Source organism: Homo sapiens, chromosome 22 (assembly GCF_000001405.40).
Source record: "Homo sapiens chromosome 22, GRCh38.p14 Primary Assembly".
Lineage (NCBI taxonomy): Eukaryota > Metazoa > Chordata > Mammalia > Primates > Hominidae > Homo > Homo sapiens.
Genome location: NC_000022.11, coordinates 26,899,497 through 26,920,857, shown reverse-complemented (window position 1 = coordinate 26,920,857; position 21,361 = coordinate 26,899,497). Strand labels below are relative to the sequence as shown.

General features: G+C 47.1%; 1 long non-coding RNA gene across 1 annotated transcript; it reads right to left on the bottom strand.

Moving 5' to 3' along the window:
- Positions 1-246: 246 nt before the first annotated feature.
- LINC01422 (long intergenic non-protein coding RNA 1422) lies at positions 247-17,566 on the bottom strand. The gene is made up of 3 exons (NR_110540.1): positions 17,427-17,566; positions 14,091-14,280; positions 247-481 (listed from the first exon to the last, which is right to left on the bottom strand). It is a non-coding gene; the product is annotated as a long intergenic non-protein coding RNA 1422 (long non-coding RNA).
- Positions 17,567-21,361: the final 3,795 nt, after the last annotated feature.

Below are 21,361 nucleotides of genomic sequence, written 5' to 3'. Positions count from 1 at the left end.
GTGGCACGATCTTGGCTCACTGCAACCTCTGCCTCCCGGGTTCAAGCAATACTCCTGTCTCAGCCTCCCAGGTAGCTGGGATTACCACGTCCGGCTAATTTTTGTATTTTTAGTAGAGACGGGATTTCACCATGTTGTCCAGGCTGCTCTAGAACTCCTGACCTCAGATGATCCACCCGCCTATGCCTCCCAAAGTGCTGGGATTATAGGCGTGAGCCGCTTAGCCACCATTTAAACCTCACTCTATTTGGCTGCAAAACTCAAATCTTTCCACTGCACCAGGAGGACTCAGGGATCCACTTAGCTGAGAGAAACAAAAAATATCAACATGTTTAGCTGTTGATTTGCATCATGAGTTTGAAGAGGAGCTGATGTGGCCAACAACGTGGACTGGATGTCAGCAGGGACCAGTCAACTGGATCTGTGGTCTCTGAATGCTCCCTTAGTTCCAGCCAACTTCTCAGGAATCCATGAGCGTTCCCTGGAGAAAGAAGCAAGTGGGTCAGGGGTGAATACCCTCAGTTCTGAAGCCTGAGAAAATCTCTTCCCAAGGAGTTGGTGCAAGGTACCACATTTACAGAAAACTTCTCTGAGGGCCTTGAGTGGGCTACAAAAGCCCACCCACTCTGAATCTTCACAGGAGGCTCACTGCTGGTAGATGTGATAGATCATCCCTCCCACACCCATAAGACAGACTGGAAAACTTCTTCCAGGGTAGGAACAAGTCCAAGGCCATTAGAAAGAGGCAGAGCCGGGACTTGAACCCAGGTCTGTCAGATTCCTAATTTAGGTCTCTTTCTTCTAGTCCCACATTAAAGCAGCCAGAGGACTAAGCCAGGAGGACCACTGGTCATTCCACCTGTGGCATCAATAAAAAAGGTACCATTGTCCAGGGGCTGTGCTAAACACTCGGTGTAGTACATTAACTCAATTTTCAATACACTACAAAATGAAATGGTTATTAAACCCATTTATGAGATTAAAGAACTAAGGGCCTTTTCTATTGCTGCTTAAACAAATTAGCATATATTAAGTGACTTAAAAATATTAGGAGCTTATTATATTACAGTTCTGAGGGTCAGAGGTCTGAAATGGGTCTCACTGGGCTGGAGTGAAGGTGTCAGCAAGGCTGTTCTTCCTCTGGAGAACAGGGGAAAATCAGTTCCCTTGCCTTTTCCAGCTTCTAGAGGCTGCCCTCATTCCTTAGCTCTTGGCCCCCTTCTCCATCTTCAAAGCCAGCATTCTTAAGCTGTCCTCCTCAAGCTGCCATCTCCATAGTTCTCTCTCTCTTCTGCCTCCCTCTTCCACTTTTGAGGACGCTTGTGGTTCCACTGGGCTTATCCATATAATCCAGGATAATCTCCCCCATTTTAAGGTCAACTGCTCTGCAGACTTAATTTCACCTGCAATCTTAATACTCCTTTGCCACAAAACCTAACATAGTCACAGGTCCACACAGGGCATCTAGGGTGAGCCTCTGATGGTAATGAGTTTTCTGTCCTCCATGGAGTCAGTGAAGATGGAGCTCAGGAAGACAGGCATCCAAGCCAGTCCTTGGAGACAGGGTGGCTTGGGGGTTAAAGCCTGCCTCTGTTGGGTGTCAGGGAAAAAGCAAACTGTAGGATAAGTGTGCCCTAACCTTCCCCAACTAATCACATCTCTTGACCTCCCCATGCCATATACTTCTTGCTCCCACCACTTGGAAATTTTCCCAGACCCCCAGTACAGCTGGGTATTTTATGCTCTGTGGCTTTTCATGTGCTGTTCCAGTCTCCATGACTTTCCCATTATTTCACACTAGGGAGCATTGGTGGTTCAATGGCAGAATTCTCATCACCCATTATTTCAGACTGATTAACTCCATCTTCTCTTCCAGGTCTCCTCTGCCATGCAAGTGGGATTTGGCTCCTTCTAGCCCCATTTTTCCCTTCCCTCTCACTTCCGAGGTTGCTGGTTATTAACACAGATATTTTAACACACACACACAGTTCCACTCGGGTTAAGAAATGCTGTCGTTACACTAGAAATTTCTGGGGTGATTCTAAAAAAGAGAACTTTCTTTAAACGTAATCTTTTAGCTAGTATCCACTTTAGACTCAGAAAATGTAAGTTATCTACAGCCTGACAAAGACTAGTACAACCTATTCCTGTCTCAAAATGTTTCTAAAATTAGAGTGAACATTGTGTTAACTGCCACAGTTAAAATCAAAATGATGGATTTCTCTTCTGAAATCAATCCTAAAATGCTTCCTCTCCTGGCAGTCAGAAAACTCATTCACCATTCGTACTATTATGATCCTCGTAATCACTTTTCAAAATGGCATTGTGACTACCCTTCACTCCATAAGGATTATGGTGGCCTTGGAGAAAAGAGGAGAAATGCTGACCTCACACAGAGTCACTTCCTGTCTCGCCTCTAAGATCTTTAGATGCTTCCTGTAAGGTGTGAGCCAATCAGAGCCAAGCTGGGCTGAAACCTCCCAATTAAAGGAGGACTTTGTTAGCAGAGGGATGATGATAGCTCTGATCAATCAACATAGAAAATGTCTAATGTTTTCAGTCATAGGAATGCCAAAGAGACACATGCAACTGGTGGATGCTTCCATTCAGAGCTGTTAAATAATTCTGAGCACTGGAATGCTGCAAAAAAAAAAAAAAAAAAAAAAAAGGAGTGCCTCTCATTTAACAGCTGAGAAATTTAAAATATTAATCCATTTATAATGCTCTTCCCCCACCCCGATTTTGAGATCAGGGCACCTCCCCTTGATAATGGATGCATGACTTTAGGCAAATTGCTTCCTTTCTCTAGGCCTCAGCATTCTCCTCCCCAAAAGGGGGAATCATAGGCATTGCTGCCCCGGGACATTGGGACTATTCGAGGAGATAATATAAGTGCAAGACTTGGCATAAAGAAAGCAGCCATGAATGTTTCCTTCTTGGCCAGGGCATTCATGTCCCACTCCCATCCCCACTGTGCTCAGCCAGCACTTGGCTGTCTAAGGGATAGGAGGAGACATGTCAGAGTGGGCCAGTCACTAGAAGTTAGTGATTGTCCTGAGTTTTGCTTTAATCTGTGCTGCCAACAGCTGTGTGAGCTTCAGAAAATTGTTTAAAACTCTCTGAACATCATTTTTCCATAAAACGTGCAAAGAAATCCACCTCACCTAGGAGAGCTGTGAGGAGCAAATGATTTAGCATGTCAAAACATCTTGAGACCCAGCACTGTCTCCGCCTTGAAGAGGTCATCAGGGACCAAAAGCAATGTCATGATCTGCCTTCCAGAAGAACTTAAAAGAGGACAACTCAAAACACGGCACTCTGAACTTTCTGCAAGAACTCATATCTAATGGTGAGGTTTGGACTGTATACCAAGGTGGGGGAAAGGGAATATTTAAGAGTAGGGCCAGGTGCGGTGGCTTACACCTGTAATTCCAGCACTTTGGGAGGCCGAGGAGGGTGGATCACAAGGTCAAGAGATCAAAACCATCCTGGCCAATATGGTGAAGCCTCGTCTCTACTGAAAAAATAAAATCAGCTGGGTGTGGTGGCACGCACCTGAAGTCCCAGCTACTTGGGAGACTGAGGCAGGAGAATCACTTGAAACCGGGAGGCAGAGGGTTGCAGTGAGCCGAGATTGCACCACTGCACTCCAGCCTGGCGACAGAGCGAGACTCCATCTCAAAAATAAATACATAAATACATAAATACATAAATAAAGAGAGTAGGAATTCAGCACCTCTCTTATCATGTGAGGTCTTTGCCCACAGCCTCTTCTGTATAGTCATTCTGGACCCAACCCCAAGTCAGCTCCAGCCCCTTCTAAAGTTCTCCTTGGATGTCAGCACCATCCACATTGGCAGTGAGGTTGGTCTTAGCCAAATGCTATATATAGTCATCTGGGGGCAGGGAACTTAATGTGAAACACCAAAGCTTAATTTCTATTCTGCCCCCAGATTCTTAAATTAGCCTGGGGCAGTTGTTCTCCATTGGGGGTGATTTTTGCCCTGCAGGGGACATTGAGCAATGTCTGGAGACATTTTTGGTTGTCATGTGACTGGGACATGGCTCCTGGCATCTTCAGGATAGAATCCAAGGGTGCTATTCAACATCTACAATGCACACAACAGTTCCACTCCCCACTACCTGCCCCAACAAAAATTATCCAGCCCGATACGTCAATAGTGTCAAGGCAGAGAAACCCTAGTTAGGGGTGAGGCTCAGTCATTGGTATGTTTAGAAAGCTCTTCAGGTGATTCTAATGAGAGCCACTGGGTTAATCAAACGCTCAACAATTAGCCTTGGGGAATTAGAGTCTTCTAGATGAAGCCTCCATAATCAGCCAGCTGTTATTAAATCATCAATAGCTGTAGCCAAATTAAACCCAGAGTTAAGAGTGCTTCAAGCATTGACTTGTCCATTCCTGCAAGGGCAATCTACCATCCAGTTTTTCCAGGACTAAGGGAGTTCCCAGGATGTAGGACTTTCCTGTTTTAAGAATGGAGCAGATCTAAGAAAAGTGGGACAGGTTAGTCACCCTTGCTTCTGCCTCTCTCTTGTTTTCCTCTTCCACTCTCCATCTGTCCTTGGTTTATTGTGTTTATATGATGTGCCATGTCTACGCACACACTTTACCCATATTAGCTCAGGAAATGCTCAGAGCCCTAGAAGGTGGGTATTAAGATCTCCAATTCCCAAGAACCCAGGGCTTCAATTACTTGGCCACAGAGGCTACTCAGATAATTAAGTGTTTGAGTTAGAACTCAAACCCAGGGCTGCCAACTCCATGGTCCTTACCACTAGATCACACTGCCTATTTCCTTCAGTAACATGATTCACAGCAGTCTATGATGGGGTGACTCAGGGATGCTAAACCCCTATGGGCAGGAATGCCACATCCCAGTTCTGCAGAATCTCCCGTTTCCATTGATCCCATTCCACTGCCTTTGAGTTCGGGGCCCAGACAATTACAAAGAAAAGAATGGGGGCTCTGTAGATGACCTTCGGCCAAAACTAATTAACAAAGTCATCTCAGCATACTGCAATGCTGAAAACTCACAGGTAAATGAGAGAGAAATGAAAGGAGGCTGGGTGCGGTGGCTCATGCCTATAATCCCAGCACTTTGGGAGGTCGAGGTGGGCAGATCACCTGAGGTCAGGTGTTCAAGACCAGTCTGGCCAACATGGTGAAACCCCATCTCTACTAAAAATACAAAAATTAGCCAGGCATGGTGGTGCACCTGTAGTTCCAGCTACTCAGGAGGCTGAGGCAGGAGAATTGTTTGAACCCAGGAGGCAGATGTTGCAGTGAACCAAGATCTTGCCACTGCACTCCAGCCTGGGTGACAGAGTGAGACTCCATCTCAAAAAAAGAAAAAAAGAAAAAAAAAGCAAACTTACTGCTCCATTCTAGTCTCTCTGCATATCACATCTGTATTCCATAAAGTACAGATAATCATCCCCATGGTACAGAGAAGGGAACCAAGGCCAGAGAGGTGAATGCCAAGGCCATCTTCCCAGCAGGTGGCAAAACTGGTGTTAGAAGCCATGTCCGTTTACTCCAATGCCCATGCTTTTAGCATTTCATTCCATGCCATGTGGGGAAGCCTGACTTCTTGTTGATTTAACAGCCCAATGTGGGTAAAGCGCCCCTAACAAATCCCAGAAGATTGTCTCGAGGAGGTGTTCATGTAGTGCAAACAGCATTACACGTGTCCTGGGCTTTGTAGCACCATTTCAAATATTGACGAGGCCCATTAAAGAATTCTGAGAGAACAGGCTGCCTTAAGTGGAGCGGGTACTGAGTTCAGAATGCCTGGTGCAGTAATAAACGGCATGGCGCCCTGCGATTCCGGGCAGAGGCCACGTGGAAGTCTGCCCGCACGCCCGTGCACACACACCCCCACCCTCGGCACACCTCCACCACCCACCCCTCTCCATGCGTGCCCACTGAGTGTAAACCCCACAGTGCCCTGTGCATTTCTACGAAATGATATTTTATTAAATAAACAAACTGGAGCCGTTCCCATAGATTTATGAACAGTTCCTCAAGTCTCACTTGTTCGACCCACTGCGGATTTACGGCCCTGCATTAACCTCGTGAGCGCTCATAACGTTTACTAAGATAATGTTGGCAGGAGGGAGAAGGGATTTTTATAGCTGAGTAATAATTAGGAAATGCAGGGAGGACTGGGGAACCTGTTTATTGGTTATGCTGGGTGCATGGACAACGATGGGATTGTACATTCTGTGCAGGTTTCTCTGGCGGAAATCAATTCCTTCCCTCTCTAGCTGGTTTTACCTCCGTGGCTTGTCTGAAACCTGGTTTCTACTTCTAGAGAATGTGTTATCAGCGTGGTCAGGCCTCAATCTTAAAAAGAGAAAGGGGACAGCTGCCCAGGTGACCCCTGGTGCAAACTTGCCCCAGGTGCACTATTCAGAGAGCGGGACCTGAAGTGCACCATTAGAACCTGGAGGGAGGTGACATCCCCTGGAAACAGGTCAGTTCCCAGGGGTGAAGCATTCCTTCCTCCTCCGAGTCGGAGCAATTGGTTCTTCAGCCTCTTTCTTGACAACGGGTTTGCTCGGGGAAAAGAGAGAAAGCATTGCAGCACTGACGTTTAAGAGGAGTTGAAGAAAACGAAGCTTGCAAAATGGTCATAAAATATGAGGGGGGCCAGGCACGGTGGCTCACGCCTGTAATCCCAGCACTTTGGGAGCCCAAGGTGGGCAGATCACTTGAACTCAGGAGTTCAAGATTGGCCTGGGCAACACAGCAAGATCTCGTCTCTACATTCTTTTTTTAATTAGCCACGCATGGTGGCATGTGCCTGTGGTCCCAGTTACTGGGGAGGCTGAGGTGGGAGAATCACTTGAGTGCACCACTGCACTCCAGCCTGGGCAACAGAGTGAGCCCCGTCTTGAAAAAGAAAAAAGAAAAAAGAAACTACGAGGGGCATAAACAATAAAGACATATTAGTAACAAGAACTACAAAAATCTGGCTGCATATAGGGGCCATGGTGGGTGGTGTCGGGGGCAGAATTAAGAAGTACAAGTGCCTTGACCTAACCAATTAAAGCAAACCCTGGGGGGATGGGGAAGGGCATCGTGTTTTTACAAACTCCCCAGTAATGCTGATGCACAGAGAGGCTTAGACCAGCGAGTGGTCGCTATAAAGTGCTTTCCTATCTGTATGGCCCCGCTGCTCACAGGGTGGGCTGCAAGCCAGCAACATGGGCCTCACCTGGGAGCTGGTTGGAATGCAGAATCTCAGGCCCTGCCCCAGCCTTACTGAATCAGCACCAGTATCCCAACAAGTTCCTCCGGGATTCACCTGAGCGTTCAAACTTGAGAAGCATGGCGATGCGGCATTTGACTCTCAGAAATGCTACCTCTCCCCAGAGTAGGTAGAGGAGCCGCTCCTTCTGCTTTCCCATTTTACAAGGGGAACAAAAAATCAAGGTTCAGGGAGGTTTAGTCGCTTGCCCGAGATCACACAGAGCCAGGACCGCCCAGACGCCATGTCTTCCTCTGCATCTCACACTCACACATCCACTGCTGGGGGAAATCTGGGCACCGTGGCAGGTGCAAGGGAGGTGCTTGTGGGCCGGAGCTAAAAATGAGAGATGGAAGAGGGGCGCCCTAGGGAAGGGGATCATTGAGTAGTTGTCAATTAGTCACCCGGCCTTCCACAGCTGGCAGAGTGGGGCCCTGTCTAGGCTGCCACCCCCGCCTCCCGCCGCCTCTGCCCTCTCTGCCTTCCCCTTCCAGAGCCTCCTTGAGATCTGAAACTCAAACGAGAGGGCATGAATAATGTAGCGCGATTGCTCCTCTCGTCTCTCCTCAATCCTCAGAGGGTGAGCGAGGCTCCTTGTCTGCCTCATTAGTGGCCGTTCAACCATTTGATTTCAGTAACAGTGTGCCTTCCTCGGAATTTTCATACTTATTTGCGTCACCGGAGTCAACACTGAATTTTTGAATCCACATGAAATTTTAATGGGGTGATCTGCATACAGCATGGTCCCGGCTGGGGCTCCAACGACGGGCTAGGAGAGGGACAGCCTGATCTGAAGATGGGCTGATCACAGAGACGTGGGTAGGAGCCTAGTCCACTCCCAGTTTGGAGCCCAGATCGGGGCACGGGGTGATAGGGAGGTCCCCAAGGGCTGAGAGGGTCCTGCCAGTTAAACTCCCTGCAGCCAACATTAGTAGCTTCCAATTTCAGGCGAAGGGTTAAGGACTCCACTCTGGAGCCTGTAAGCCCTGAAGTCAGAATCCAGCTTTACCACTTCCTGGCTGTGTGACCTAGGATAAATTGCTTTACCACTCTGAGCCTGTCTGCTTATCTGTGAAATGAGGATTATAACAGAGTTGCTATGCAGAGCTTGAATGAGGTAATCCATATAAATCCCTTAGCTCAGTGTTTGGCACGTGATAAGCAGTTAACGCTTAGTAGATATGATGATGATATCTAATGTTTAATAGATATGACAGTGTGATGATGATGATGATGTTTTCCTCCATCTTTCACCCTACACATGACTAGAACGATGTAGTTTGCAAAACTTATTCACATCTGATTTTTTGTTTTTTTCATCTGTACTTTGGATTTGGTAGCAGACTCATCTCAGTCGATTCCAGCTTTACCTCTTACACACTATAGGAGTTAGAAGTAACTTCATCTCCTTGATCCTCAGTTTTCTCGCCTATGTAATGGGGAGACTACACCCTCCCTGTAGGACTCTTCATCGGGATTCAGTAGGAAAACGTCTGTAAAATGTTTCACCTTGTGCCTCACATGGGGCAGGCACCATATACAGGATGATGTTCTTAATTCTAAGCACACGTTTCGTTCATATTCTGCATCTCTGAATTCAGGGTCCATCTGCCATTGTGAGAGCATGTTAAATCCTTGAACTACAATATTATTATTTCCATCCAGGGTATTTATTTATCCAGTGCTTGTTCGTGTTCCAGGCATGCGCTAAAAGCTGCATGAGAGCTGTAATAGTTCACGCAATTCTTGCAACAACACAGAAAGTAGGTGTTTTTTCTAAATATGCTTTGAGAATAGGGAAATGGTACCTCCAAGAGATGGTGGATCCTCCCCTGGGTTCCACAGCTGGTTTGCATTACAGAATTCCTTGTTCTTAGGTGTTGTACTCTGGCAGGTCTGTCCCATCCCCCCCATCCCGTGTGAACAGCTAAGGAGAGGAAGGGCCAGAAGGATGGGGCAATTTTCCCAGAGTGGCATGGCCAGTAAGTGGCAGAGCTGGGAATGGACCCCAAGTCCATAGGATCACAAATGTTGGGCTCTCTCTGCTAGAACCCACCATGGCTGGCAGGTGGATGGGCAGCATGATCCTTTTATTACATGACTCTGGTATAGTCCAGGACAACCTTGCCCGAGCCTGGAGACTGGCTCTCATTCCCAGGTGTCCTGCAAGTATCTCTGAGCCTCACTTTCTTCTCCTGTAACATGAAGGAGGTGACAATGCCAATGTCTCAGAAATGTTGTGAAGATTAAACTGAGCAATGCATAGAAATAGGTTCTGCCAGCCATGGAAGCCCCTCAAATGTGAGCGATTGTTGAGGATAGAGAAAGGCAGGGGCCCTGGGAGCTGAGATGAGCCGCAGCACAGGACCTTGAAGCTGAAAAGAGCCACCAAGGGGTCTCCATCCCTTCCCAGCACTGGCCTTCCTCCTGTGGGATACTCAGTGTGGAGATTCCTCCCTCCCCACCTGACACAGAGATGGGAGTGAAATGAAACACAGCCCCTACCCCACCCCCTGCTGCCCAGGATTTCTCACCCGGTGTAACGAAACGGAAGGAATTTCTGCTGAGAATGGTGATTACTAACCTGCCAAGATGAGTGAGAAAAATCAATTCAGAGAATGCAGGAGAGAAGGGACTCTACTGAATGGGGGAGGTATGAGAGAGAGGAGAGGGTGGGAGGGACAGAAAGAGAGTGACCTGGGAGAAAAGAGAGAAAGAGGGGGAAAAAAAGACAGACAGAGAGAGAGGGAGAAGGTGAGCCGCACATCTATTCATCGAGGACGAACTTCAGGGACATTTAGCCTCAATCCCTCTCTTACAGTTTCTCTCTTCAGTGATTAGACAAGGACAGCAGGAAAGTGGGTTGCAGAGGCAAACGCATGCCATACGGCAGAGATTCAGTAGGTCTAGGTTTGGGGTTGCCAACAATTCTGTATTTCCAACCAGCTCCTGGGGATGCTGAGCCACTGGTCTGGGAACTTGACTGGGAGTATCAAGGCTGAAGACAGAAACATCAACTTGCCCGTTGGTGAACTGATATCACAAATGTTTCCCAAGTGTGTGCTATGTGTTTTAAACTGGAGAACCAAACACTTACTAGACACACAGAAGGCTTTGTTGAATGTTACTGGAGAGAAGTCTTTAGTCATTCATTGTTTGATTGAGGTGAAATTCACATTACATAAAATTAACAACTTTAAGGTATCCAATTCAATAGCATTAGTTCATTCACGGTGTTGTGCAACCATAGCTCTGTCTAGCTCCAAAACATTGTCATTACCTCCAAAGAACACCTCATACCGTCAGTAGCCTTTCCCTTTTTTTTTTTTTTTGAGACAGAGTCTCACTCTGTTGCCAGGCTGGAGTGCAGTGGCGCGATCTTGGCTCACTGCAAGCTCCGCCTCCTGGGTTCAAGCAATTCTCCTGCCTCAGCCTCCTGAGTAGCTGGGACTACAGGCACACACAACCACGCCCAGCTAATTTTTGTATTTTTCAGTAGAGATGGGGTTTCACCATGTTGGCCAGGATGATCCTGATCTCCTGACCTTGTGATCCGCCTGCCTCGGCCTCCCAAAGTGCTGGGATTACAGGCGTGAGCCACTGCGCCTGGCTGCCATTCCCTTTTCACTCTTTCTCCCAGCTCCAGCAACCACTAATCTACTTTCTGTCTCTATGGATTTACCTATTCTAGATATTTCATACAAATAGAACTGTATATAGTTGTGACCTTTTGTGTTGAGCTTCTTTCACCTAGAGTCAGACATGCACCTGCACATGAATGTTCAGAGCAGCATTGTTCACAATAGCCAAAAGGTAAAAACAACTCAAATGCCCATTAGCAGATGGATAAGCAACATGTGGTATACAATGGAATATCATTCAGCCATAAAGAATGAAGAAGTACCGATCCACGTTGTGGCATGGAATAGCTCTGAAAATCTCACACTAAGTAAATAATTTTTAAAATGCTGTTTCTTGCCCTCACGGCTGTCGCCATGATCCTGACTACCCCAACTCAAGTGTGGTCACCTTTCATTCCAAACAAATATCAGCTGAGCAGCCACCATGGGCAGGATGCTGGACGCTCCAGGAATGTAGGTCAGTTAGACCACGACTGCCAGCTTGGGTCCTTACTGACTTGCTCCGTGGCCTTAGGTGAGTCCCCTCCCCTCTCTAAACCTCAGATTTCTAATCTGTGGAATGGGATTCCAGATTTCTCACCAGGTTGGCACAAGCATTAGGTCAAGGTGAGGTCTCTGAGTAAGCCACTGAACTGGACAAGTGTCAGTCACTGCTACGGACTGAACGTGTTCTCCCAAAAATCATATATTGAAATCCTTACCCCCAGCACGATGCTGTTAGGAGGCTGGACCTGTGGGGGTGATTAGGTCATGAGGGTGGAGCCCTCATGAACAGAATTAGTGCCCTCATTAAAGAAACCGCATGGGGCTCCCCAGCACCCTTTCCACCATGTGAGGATACAGCAAGAAGTCGATAGTCTGCGACCTGGAAGAAAACCCCCATCAGAATCAATTCTGCTGGCCCTGATGTAGGACTTTCAGCCTTCTGCTTCCCAGACAGGGAGTGGACTTGTGATGTTTGGGGTAGCATGCCTCAAATAAATTCCTGTTGTTTATGAGCCACCCAGTCCATGCTCCTTTGTTATAAGCAGCCCGAACAGGCTGAGACAGTTACTGTCACTGTGAGTTGTACAAGATGGGAGGGACCTCAGAACCTGCCATCGTCCTCAGAGTTTGGGAGTCAGAACCTGAATGTGTGGAAAGAGAATTAGCAGTCCAAGGGGAGCACTGGCCAGAGTAGGGATCCCAGAGAGTGACTGCTGTTATGTAAAATCCATGCCCACGGTCCACCAGACATCTCTAATCCAGCGCTGACCCCCTCGCAGACTTTGGCTGGACCCTAGAACTCATCCAGCCCAACTTCCTCATGCCACAGGTGAAGAATTAGAGACCGTACGGAGAGAAGTGACTTGCCCACAATCTATCAGGTAAATTTCCTTTCATTTGTTACTGACTTCCAGGAAAGATGGTAGATTGAACACACTCCTCTAATATATTTCCTTCCCTAAAAGACAATACTATTATAATACAGGATTTGTTTTAAAGGCATAAACTCATAAGGACAAGGAGAACGGAGGAAAAGGTAACAGTCATGAGGTTTGGAAATGGGGAAGTGAGAAGGCAATGGTGGTAATTGACTTGGCAGATCCAACATGGCTAAGAAGTGGAGATGGTGAGGGACCAACCCAATTTGCACCCATTCATTATGTCATTCAATTATCTTTAATTTGTCAGTTTCTCTGTTCAGGCCCCGATGAAGATGAATGGGACTCTCCAGACCATGCCGCCCAGTGGTGCATGATCTTCTGGTGGCAACAGGGAAGCAAATGAGGCAACCTGTGGAGCCCTCTAAGGCAGACATACAGTTGGCCCTCCATATTCTTGGATTCTGCATTTGTGGATTCAACCAACAACACATCGAAAATAATCAGGGGGAAAAAAGGACGGTTGCAGGCCAGGCGCAGTATATCATGCCTGTAATCCCAGCACTTTGGGAGGCTGGAGGGGGAGGATCACTTGAGGCCAGGAGTTGGAGACCAGCCTGGCCTAACATAGTGAGACACCACTTCTGTTAAAAAAAAAAAAAAAAAAAAAATGTTAAATATACTTGAGAGCTTATTGGAAGAGTCAAAAAGCAATTCACCTGAATCTTGTAAAGCAACACAATCTACAGGCCCCTAGTTTTCTGTTTCTCTGTTATATTTAAGGATTCTCACTCACTTACCCACTCAATGTAACATAAGAAGATGTAACATAATAAGTATTTTCAGCCAGGCGCAGTGGTTCACACCTATAATCCCAGCACTTTGGGAGGCCGAGGCAGGAGAATTGCTTGAGCTCAGGAATTTGAGATCAGCCTAGGCAACAAAGCAAGATCCTGCCTCTCCAAAAAAATCAAAAAATAGGCTGGGTGTGGTGGTGCATGCCTACAGTTCTAGCAACTCAGGAGGCTGAGTGGGAGAACCTCTTGAGCCCAGGAGGTGGAGGATGTAGTGAGCTATAGTGGAGCCACTGAACCCCAGCCTGAGTGACAGAGACAGACACTGTCTCAAAAAAAAAAAGAATGGTTGTGCTGAACATGTACAGACTTCTTTTCTTGTCATTATTCCCTAAACAATAGAGTATAACAAGTATTTACATAGCATTTACATTGTATTAGGTATTGTTAAGTAATCTGGAAATGATTTAAAGCATACAGGTGGATTGTGTAGGTTATATGCAAATACTATGTCATTTTGTATCAGTGACTTGAGGATTCGTGGATTTTGGTATCCACAGGGGGTCCTGGAACCAATCCTTCATGGGTACCCAGGGATGACTATATATAAGGTACCAACAATAAACACCAAACTCTCACTGGAGGGATAAAAGGTAAAGGGTGCAAGGACAGAGGAGTTTGAGTTTGAGTTTGAGTTGGTTACTGAAGAAGGGTCAAGAAAGAGGAGTGAGCACTCCCAAGAACAGGAGGAGCTCATGGGAAGGCAAGGAGCAGAGATATGAAACTTTCAGAGCATTCCAAGTCCCTTAGAGACACCCTCAGGTGCAGATCTTGAAGGACCCTGTAAGTCAGAACATAGGGGTACTAGGGAGCCATTGAAAGGTTTTGAGCAGTTAAGTGACAAGGTCAAGAAATATCACTCTGACGGGGGTTGAACAGAAGAGTCTTTAGAATTCCCACTTACGTCTCTTGCCCTTTCTCCATCCCTTCTTCCATAAGCTTTAACTGAGCACCTACCGTGTGCATAGCCCCATACTAGGTGCCTGAGACCAGGAGCCAGGTATCCGCACACAAGTGCATGGCGTGATCAGCCGTGAGCAGCAGTAATTGGACCCCATCTGCATCTGCTGTCTCCTGTTGCTTGGAAAACACTTCCCACTGAGCTTCAAATGTGCACCTGCTGGCCCTCACACTCGCATAAAAGTCTCTGAAAAAAAAATTGATTATATTCATTCTCTTAACCTCACCCCAACCCGAACATAAATCGTCTCTGTTTATAACACTTCTGGCATTTTGTGCATTTTGCCGAGTGACATAAAATGACAATAAATTTAGGCCCCACCAGCAGAAAAGTACCTAAAATGCCACATGTCACTAATATTGACAGGTTCTAAAAGTAAAACTTGGAAATGGTTCAGGCGACATAAATTAAAATAAAAATATATACTTTGTCCTTGAGAGAGAATCAGCTAAAATTAAACCTCAGTGTGGGTAGGATGTCCAGGAATATGAGGGAAGGAAACATCAGGGATGCATGGTTCAGAACAGAGTCCCAGAAGGGGAGGCCAAAAAGGACCCAGAGAAAATTCAAGCCAGGACCTTGATGGAAAAAAGAAGGACTCCTCTTAAAGCTGCACCGTCCAATACTGTAGCTGCTACCTTTATGTGAGCATTTAAATATAAATCTAAATACAATAAAAATTCAGCTTCTCAGTTGCACTAACCACTTTTCAAGTGCTCAGTAGCTACCTGAGGCTACTGAGCACTTGAGTTGGAGGGCAGATTAGAGATCACAGAGAGTTCTATTGGACAGCTCTGTCTAGGAGCAGGAGCATCCCTGCCGCCGTGCAGGGTGACTGACACCTGAGTCTCCTCTCCTTCCTCCCAGCCTTCTCTCCTCCACTTCCTCCTCTCTTCCTCTCTCTCCTCTTCTCTCTTTCCCTCACTCCTCTTTTCTCTCTCCTTCCCTCTCCCTTCTTTCTCCCTTCTCTTCTTTCTCTCCCCTCCCCTCTCTCACTTTCTCGCTCTCGTCTCTTTCTCCTCTTTCTTCCCTCCCCTCTCTTCTCTCTCTGTTTTGCCTTCCCCTCTTGTCTCTCTTTTTTTTTTTTAAGTTTTACTCTAAGTTCAGGGGTACATGTGCAGTTTTACCATATAGGTATACCTGTGTCATAGGGATTTGTGGTACAGATTATTTTATCACCCAGGTATGAAGCCCACTACCCATTAGTTATTTTTCCTGATCCACTCCCTCCTCCCATCCTCAACCCTCCGATAAGTTCCAGTGCGTGTTGTTCCCCTCTATGTGTCCATGTATCCTTGTCATTTAGCTCCCACTTATAAATGAGAATATGCAGTATTCAGTTTTCCATTCCCGTGTTATTTTGCTAAGGATAATGGCCTCCAGCTCCATCCATGTTCCTGCAAAGGACATGATCTTTTCTTTTTCTTTCTTCTCCTTTCTTTTTCTTTTCTCTTCTTTCCCTCTTCTCTCCTCTGTTCTTCCTTTCTCTTCTCGCTTTCCCTCTCCTCTCTCCTCTCTTTATCTTTCTTCCCTCTCCTCTTTTCTCTCCCTTTCTTCCCCCGTCTTTCTCCTCTCTTCTCTATCTCCCTTTTTCTCTTTCTCTTTCTAAATGACTGCTTGCCTCCCCCCAACTGTCTTTCTCTTTGCCTCTTTCTCCCTTCTATTTCCCTTCCATTTTATATGCTTTTCTAAAACATAAATACATTGAATTCAGAAGGCAGCGTGGGATTTGGAAACCAGGGGTCCAAAGCCCTGCTTGACCATTTTGCAGCTGTGAGGTTTCAGGCAAGTGACTCCAGCAGGCTCGTCATCCTCCACACTGGTAATTATGGAGAGAATAATCCCTACTGTGCTTGGCCATTGAATTACATCACCTGTTCAGTGGCACGCAGTAGGTGCTCAGTGGTTGCAACTTTCTTCTTTCTTCTCCTTGATCACAAAGCTTCAGAGGCTCAAAAAAATCTACCAGAACTTTTTCAGCCTCTTAAGCTCAGAATAGGAGCCTCGCCATATTTTCCATCTTTCATCTCTGGCTTTAACCCACTCAACCCTCTTCCACATTCCAAACATTCCATGCACTTTCCGGCCACCAGGCCTTTGCACATGCTGTGTGCCCAGCCTGGGTTGCCCTTTCCCCTTTTGCTTGCCTTAGCCTGCTTCCCTCAGTGGAGAATTGGGCTCAGAGGTCACCACAGCTTCTTCATCCTCTGCAGCTACTAACACAGGACAGGCTGAGGAACCCAATAAGGAAAGAAGGTGTGGATAGAACCCCAGAGAAATTAGAGAGCTGGTCAGGCTCATTTCAGGCAGACTGAAACCTGGTCTCAATCTCTGGCTGAGATGACATATTTCATTCATTCAATCAACAGTTTTGGGCATCTACTGTTTGCATACTCCTGCCCCAGCTGGATGCAGAGATGCATCAGGCAAGTTCCTTTCTGGAGCGGTCACAGCCCAGTGGGGAAAGAGACCCTCCCCAGTGCAGTTACTAGACAGCGTGGTAAGTTCTGGAATACAGGTGGGTGAAGGTTCCCTGGTCGCACAAAAGGGGGCTAGCAGTCCACTTGAGGAAGTTATGGGGACTTCAGAAAATGCCCCAAGAGCAGAGTATTTGGTGCAGCAGGAGGTGAGGTTGCCACAAAGAAGCTAGCTTTTGTGGTAGGGACATTCCAGGACAGGTGACAAGTCAGGACTGGAGGAGGCTTGTGAGAGCCAAAGGAGTCCAGGGCCACGAGCTTTTCAGTGGGACTGAGCTTAGCTAGGAAGAGGGGACTAGAAGGAAGCCAGGTCAGGAGGGTGAAAGGGGCAAGACCACCACGAGGAGTCACATAGGTTGGCTAGGGAGCCGGGACTTGACCCTGAGTGCAGCCAGGAGTCCCGGAAAGGGTTAAAGCAAGGGAGACCCGTGACCATAGAGGCAGTTTAGAAATCTGACTGCTCTGGGCCGGCCCTATGATGAGAGACAGTGTGGGGTCCGGCCCAGAATGGAGGTGACGGCCGAGATAGGCAGGGGTGGCCCTGGTGCAGACAAGAGCAGGGGAGAGGTGAAGCGGCGAAGGAGGAGCGGGTCCCATCTCGGGCCTCGCCCTTCCCCCTTTGGCGGCGGCTGCCTCGGGCGTCTAACCACCTCCCCCTCCCCAGCCCTTTCCCTCCCCACCCCCTCCCTGCCTTCTGGCTGCACAATTTGTGAAGAACATTATGTAAATGGATTTATGCAAATCCAGCCTCTCCCCCTGCTCGCTCGCTGGACTCCTGAACCCTAATTAACTTGCCAAAGCCTAATGTTGCCGTCCCCTTTACACCGGCCCAGCCCCCCCGCCCGCTCCCCCTACCAGGAAATCCGTCTTCAGAAGCAAGCGCCGTGTAATCGCTCCCTTATTTGAATGTGCGAGCTGTCGCCCACACCCTTAGCCCGCAGGAGAAGGCGGCCTTTCAGCCCATGACACTTGTGCTTCCGATACGGCTCCAAAATAAATGCCTCTTTTTCTTCCCCCCACCCGCTCCCGCCTTATTTTTGCTTGCTTCTAGACCCAGAAACAGCCTGGGTAAAGTTGATGCAATTTCTCATTATCTTCAAGTCTTTCGTCCACCACTAGCATCACCCTCCCCTCCCCGACCTCAAGGTCAGGAATCTAATACCCTCTCCCCTCCATCGCTCTCAAAATAGCCGCTCAGGAAAGGAGCAAGGGCCGGCCCTTGCTGAAGGACTAAGGGCTCATGCCTGCAATCCCAGCACTTTGGGAGGCCGAGGGAGGCAGATCACCCGAGGTCAGGAGTTCAGACCAGCCTGGGCAACAAAGTGCAACCCTATCTTTATTAAAACAAACAGGAGGCTAAGGCAGGAGAATTGCTGGAACCGGGGAGGAGGAGGTTGTGGTGAGCCGAGATCGCGCCCACTGCACTCCAGCCTAGGTGGAAAAGGAAAGAAAGAAGGAAAGAAGGAAAGAAAGGGAGGCAGGGAGGGAGGGGGGGGGAAAGAGAGAGAGGAAGGAAGGAAGGAAGGAAGGAAGGAAGGAAGGAAGGAAGGAAGGAAGGAAGGAAGGAAGGAAAAGAAAGAAAGAAGAAAAGAAAGAGAGGGAGGGAGGGAGGGAGAGAAAGGAGGGAGGGAGAGAGAGGAGAAAGACATGAAGGAAAGAGAGAAAGACAGGAAGGAAGGAGAGCGAGAGGAAGGAAGGAAGGAAGGGAGGGAGCAGGGAGGGAGGGAGGGAGGGATTGGTGTTTTTTGAAATCAGAACAGCAAGGATGTATTCAGCTCCTGCTCCCTGCAAGGCACTGTGTGCCTACCACCTAAATGAAGGTATGTTGTTGACCTAGAAAAGACTCCAGGAGCATCTCTTCCAGCCTGCTTGTTTTTTTTAAAGACAGGGTCTTGCTCTGTCACCCAGGCTAGGGTGCAGTGGTATAATCACAGTTCACTGCAGCCTTGAATTCCTGGGCTCAAACAATCCTCCAGCCTCAGCCTCCTGAGTACTACAGGTGCACACGTGCCACCATGCCCACCTAATATTTTTAAAATATTTTTGTAGAGAGCTTTGTTTCCCAGGCTGGTATCAAATTCCTGGCTTCAGGTAATCCTCCTGCTTTGGCCTCCAGAGTAGTTGGGACTACAGGCATGTGCCACCATGCCTGGCTAATTTCTTTAAAAAAATTTTTAGAGACAGAGGTGTCACTATGTTGCTGAGGCTGGTCTCAAACTCCTGGCCTCAAGCGATCCTCGTTGTCTGGGCCTCTCAAAGTGTTGGGATTATAGGAATGACCCACCATGCCAGGCCCTTGATTTTTTTTTTTTTTTTTTTGTCTTTGTTGAGACAAGCTGTCACTCTGTTGCCCAGGCTGGAATGCAGTGGTGCAATCTCACCAGCCCTTGATTTTTTTGATTTTTTTTTTTTTTTTTTGAGACAGAGTCTCGTGCTATTGCCCAGTGAGACAATCTCGGCTTACTACAACCTCTGCCTCCCTGATTCACGTGGTTCTCCTGCTTTCACCTCCCGAATAGCTGGGACTACAGGCACGCACCACCACGCCCAGCTAATTTTTGTATTTTCCGCAGAGGCAGGGTTTCACCATGTTGGCCAAGCTGGACTTGAACTCCCAACCTCAGGTGATCCGCCCGCCTCCGCCTCCCAAAGTCCTAGGATTCCAGGCGTGAGCCACCGCGCCGGCCCAGCCTTGATTTTAAAGATAGTTGAACCTATGTTCCACCACCAATGACGCATCCAAGGTCAAGCAGCAGGGATGGGCTGGAAGGCAGCCTCCCAGTCCCCCACCAGCCTGGGCCTTTCTGCTTAACATCCCTCGTTCCAAACAGCACAGCCTAAAGTAGCTGAGCTCTTCTGGCAGCCTTGTGCCTGCTCCCTTCAAGTGCAGAACAAAGCAAAATAAAGGCTTTCCCTGGAAACAGGAAGAATTGTGTTGTCAGCCGGTTCGTGCTGCTGCAGCAAATCTCCTGGATGTGGCTCCCCAAACAGAGATGGGAGGGGGGTGGCTGCCTCTGGAATCTGGGGGCAGAGCAGGCAAGGCGTCTATGGCTCGGCGTCGTAAATGGGTTTTTGAAAGATGCAAAGATGTCCGACATTTGCTGGGGTGCTAACAAGCAGGGCTGTCATTCATTTGTTCGTTCACTTATTCAACCATCATTTATTCAGGAAATATTTATTGTCCATAGTGCCTGGGCCAGAGTGAATCCCAAAATATATTTCTGCCCGCAGAACCAGGTAACCCACTTGTCACTGGCTACAAGAAACCAAGATCACCATATGCAAACAGCCGTCTGACACCAAGTCTTTCCTGGTGGCCAAATCTCCTCCCTCCTCCCCCAGCAACCTGGCATCTGAATAAAGGACCTACATTTGGAAATCCCCATCATCATCTTGTTCCTTCATTTTCATTTCTGCAAAGAAGTAATATACGCCTGCGCTTAGTCCTGAGAAGGACAGTTCATCCTGAAAGGCAGTTTATCCTGGAGGAGAGGATCTGGAGTCACGCACGGGTTCAAATCTACAAGCTTTGGCAAGGCACCACTTTCAAAGCCTTTTTATTCTCATCTGTAAAAGGGGTATCACAACCATGCCTAGCTCTCAGGTTGAAGGGGGATTAAATGGAGAAATGGGAAAATGTAGAAAATATCACCCTCTTTCTGAGATAAAAGCCTGTTCACAGAATCTCTATTGAAGCCATCAATTTCTCATTGAGGTTTCAAAAACGAGGATAGAAAGCCAGAATTCTTGTAAGTTTTTGGTGAGGATTTTGTTATAGCGGAGATATCTTTGAAGATAGTTTTTGAAAGCACTTTGATCTGGTCACTCTCTGAGCCTCAATTTTCTCAGTGCTAAAATGGGAATAATAAAATTAGCCACCTCAAAGGGTTATAGGAAGGAATTAATTAGGGAGGTCTTAGTACTGTGTGAGTCACATAGTTATGGCCCTGTGAATCTCAAAGAACACAGACATATAGATACACTCAATTACACTAGGCAACGGGGAATTTTTTGAACATCAATTAATTAATTAAAAGTTAGTTTCCCAGTTTCTCTATTAAGAAAAGTTTTTTTTTCTTTTTTCCCAGACATGTAAAGGGTGATTTAAACAGAAATGTTGGATTATGTCTTTATTTCTATTTGGAAAGAAAAAAAACAACACATTTTAGTGATCATGGAAATTACTGATTTTGCTTATTCCAATAGAAGGCAAATCATTATCTCTGAGATTTAGCATTCAGTGAGCCTGTATATCCTGAGGTCCTAAACGCTCAGCTTAAGTAAACAGAGGGTATGGTCTGACCATACCCTCTATGGATATACTTAAGGGTATATTCATACATCCAATGACAAATGCTAGGATATACATGGCATACTTTATAATTTTATATAGTTATTATAGAGCCTTCCCACAATGCCTTTCCATCCCCTCTGCTTTGAAATGCTATCATGTGGACAATAGAACACCAGCCACTACAGATGGTACTGGGGTTCTAGTTCATCAGCAACAATCAATCTCACATGGAAATGTTGCTTAGTCCCATAGTGCAAACAGGCCTCCTTTAGCACGCCAACTCCCATTAACTGGTAGCCATGGCCTGAGGTACGGTGTTAAGAAGGATTCTGATGTCTTGTTTAAGCCCAATGCCAAAGAGTGCCTAATTGATGAGTGATGTCTGCTATGGAACCAGGTGATGGTCAGTGCATGGGCGCCTCTTGTTTGCTAATCCCAAGCTACTATAACCCCTGTGTGTGATAATGGAAGTAGCTGAGATTCAGAGAGGGGACTA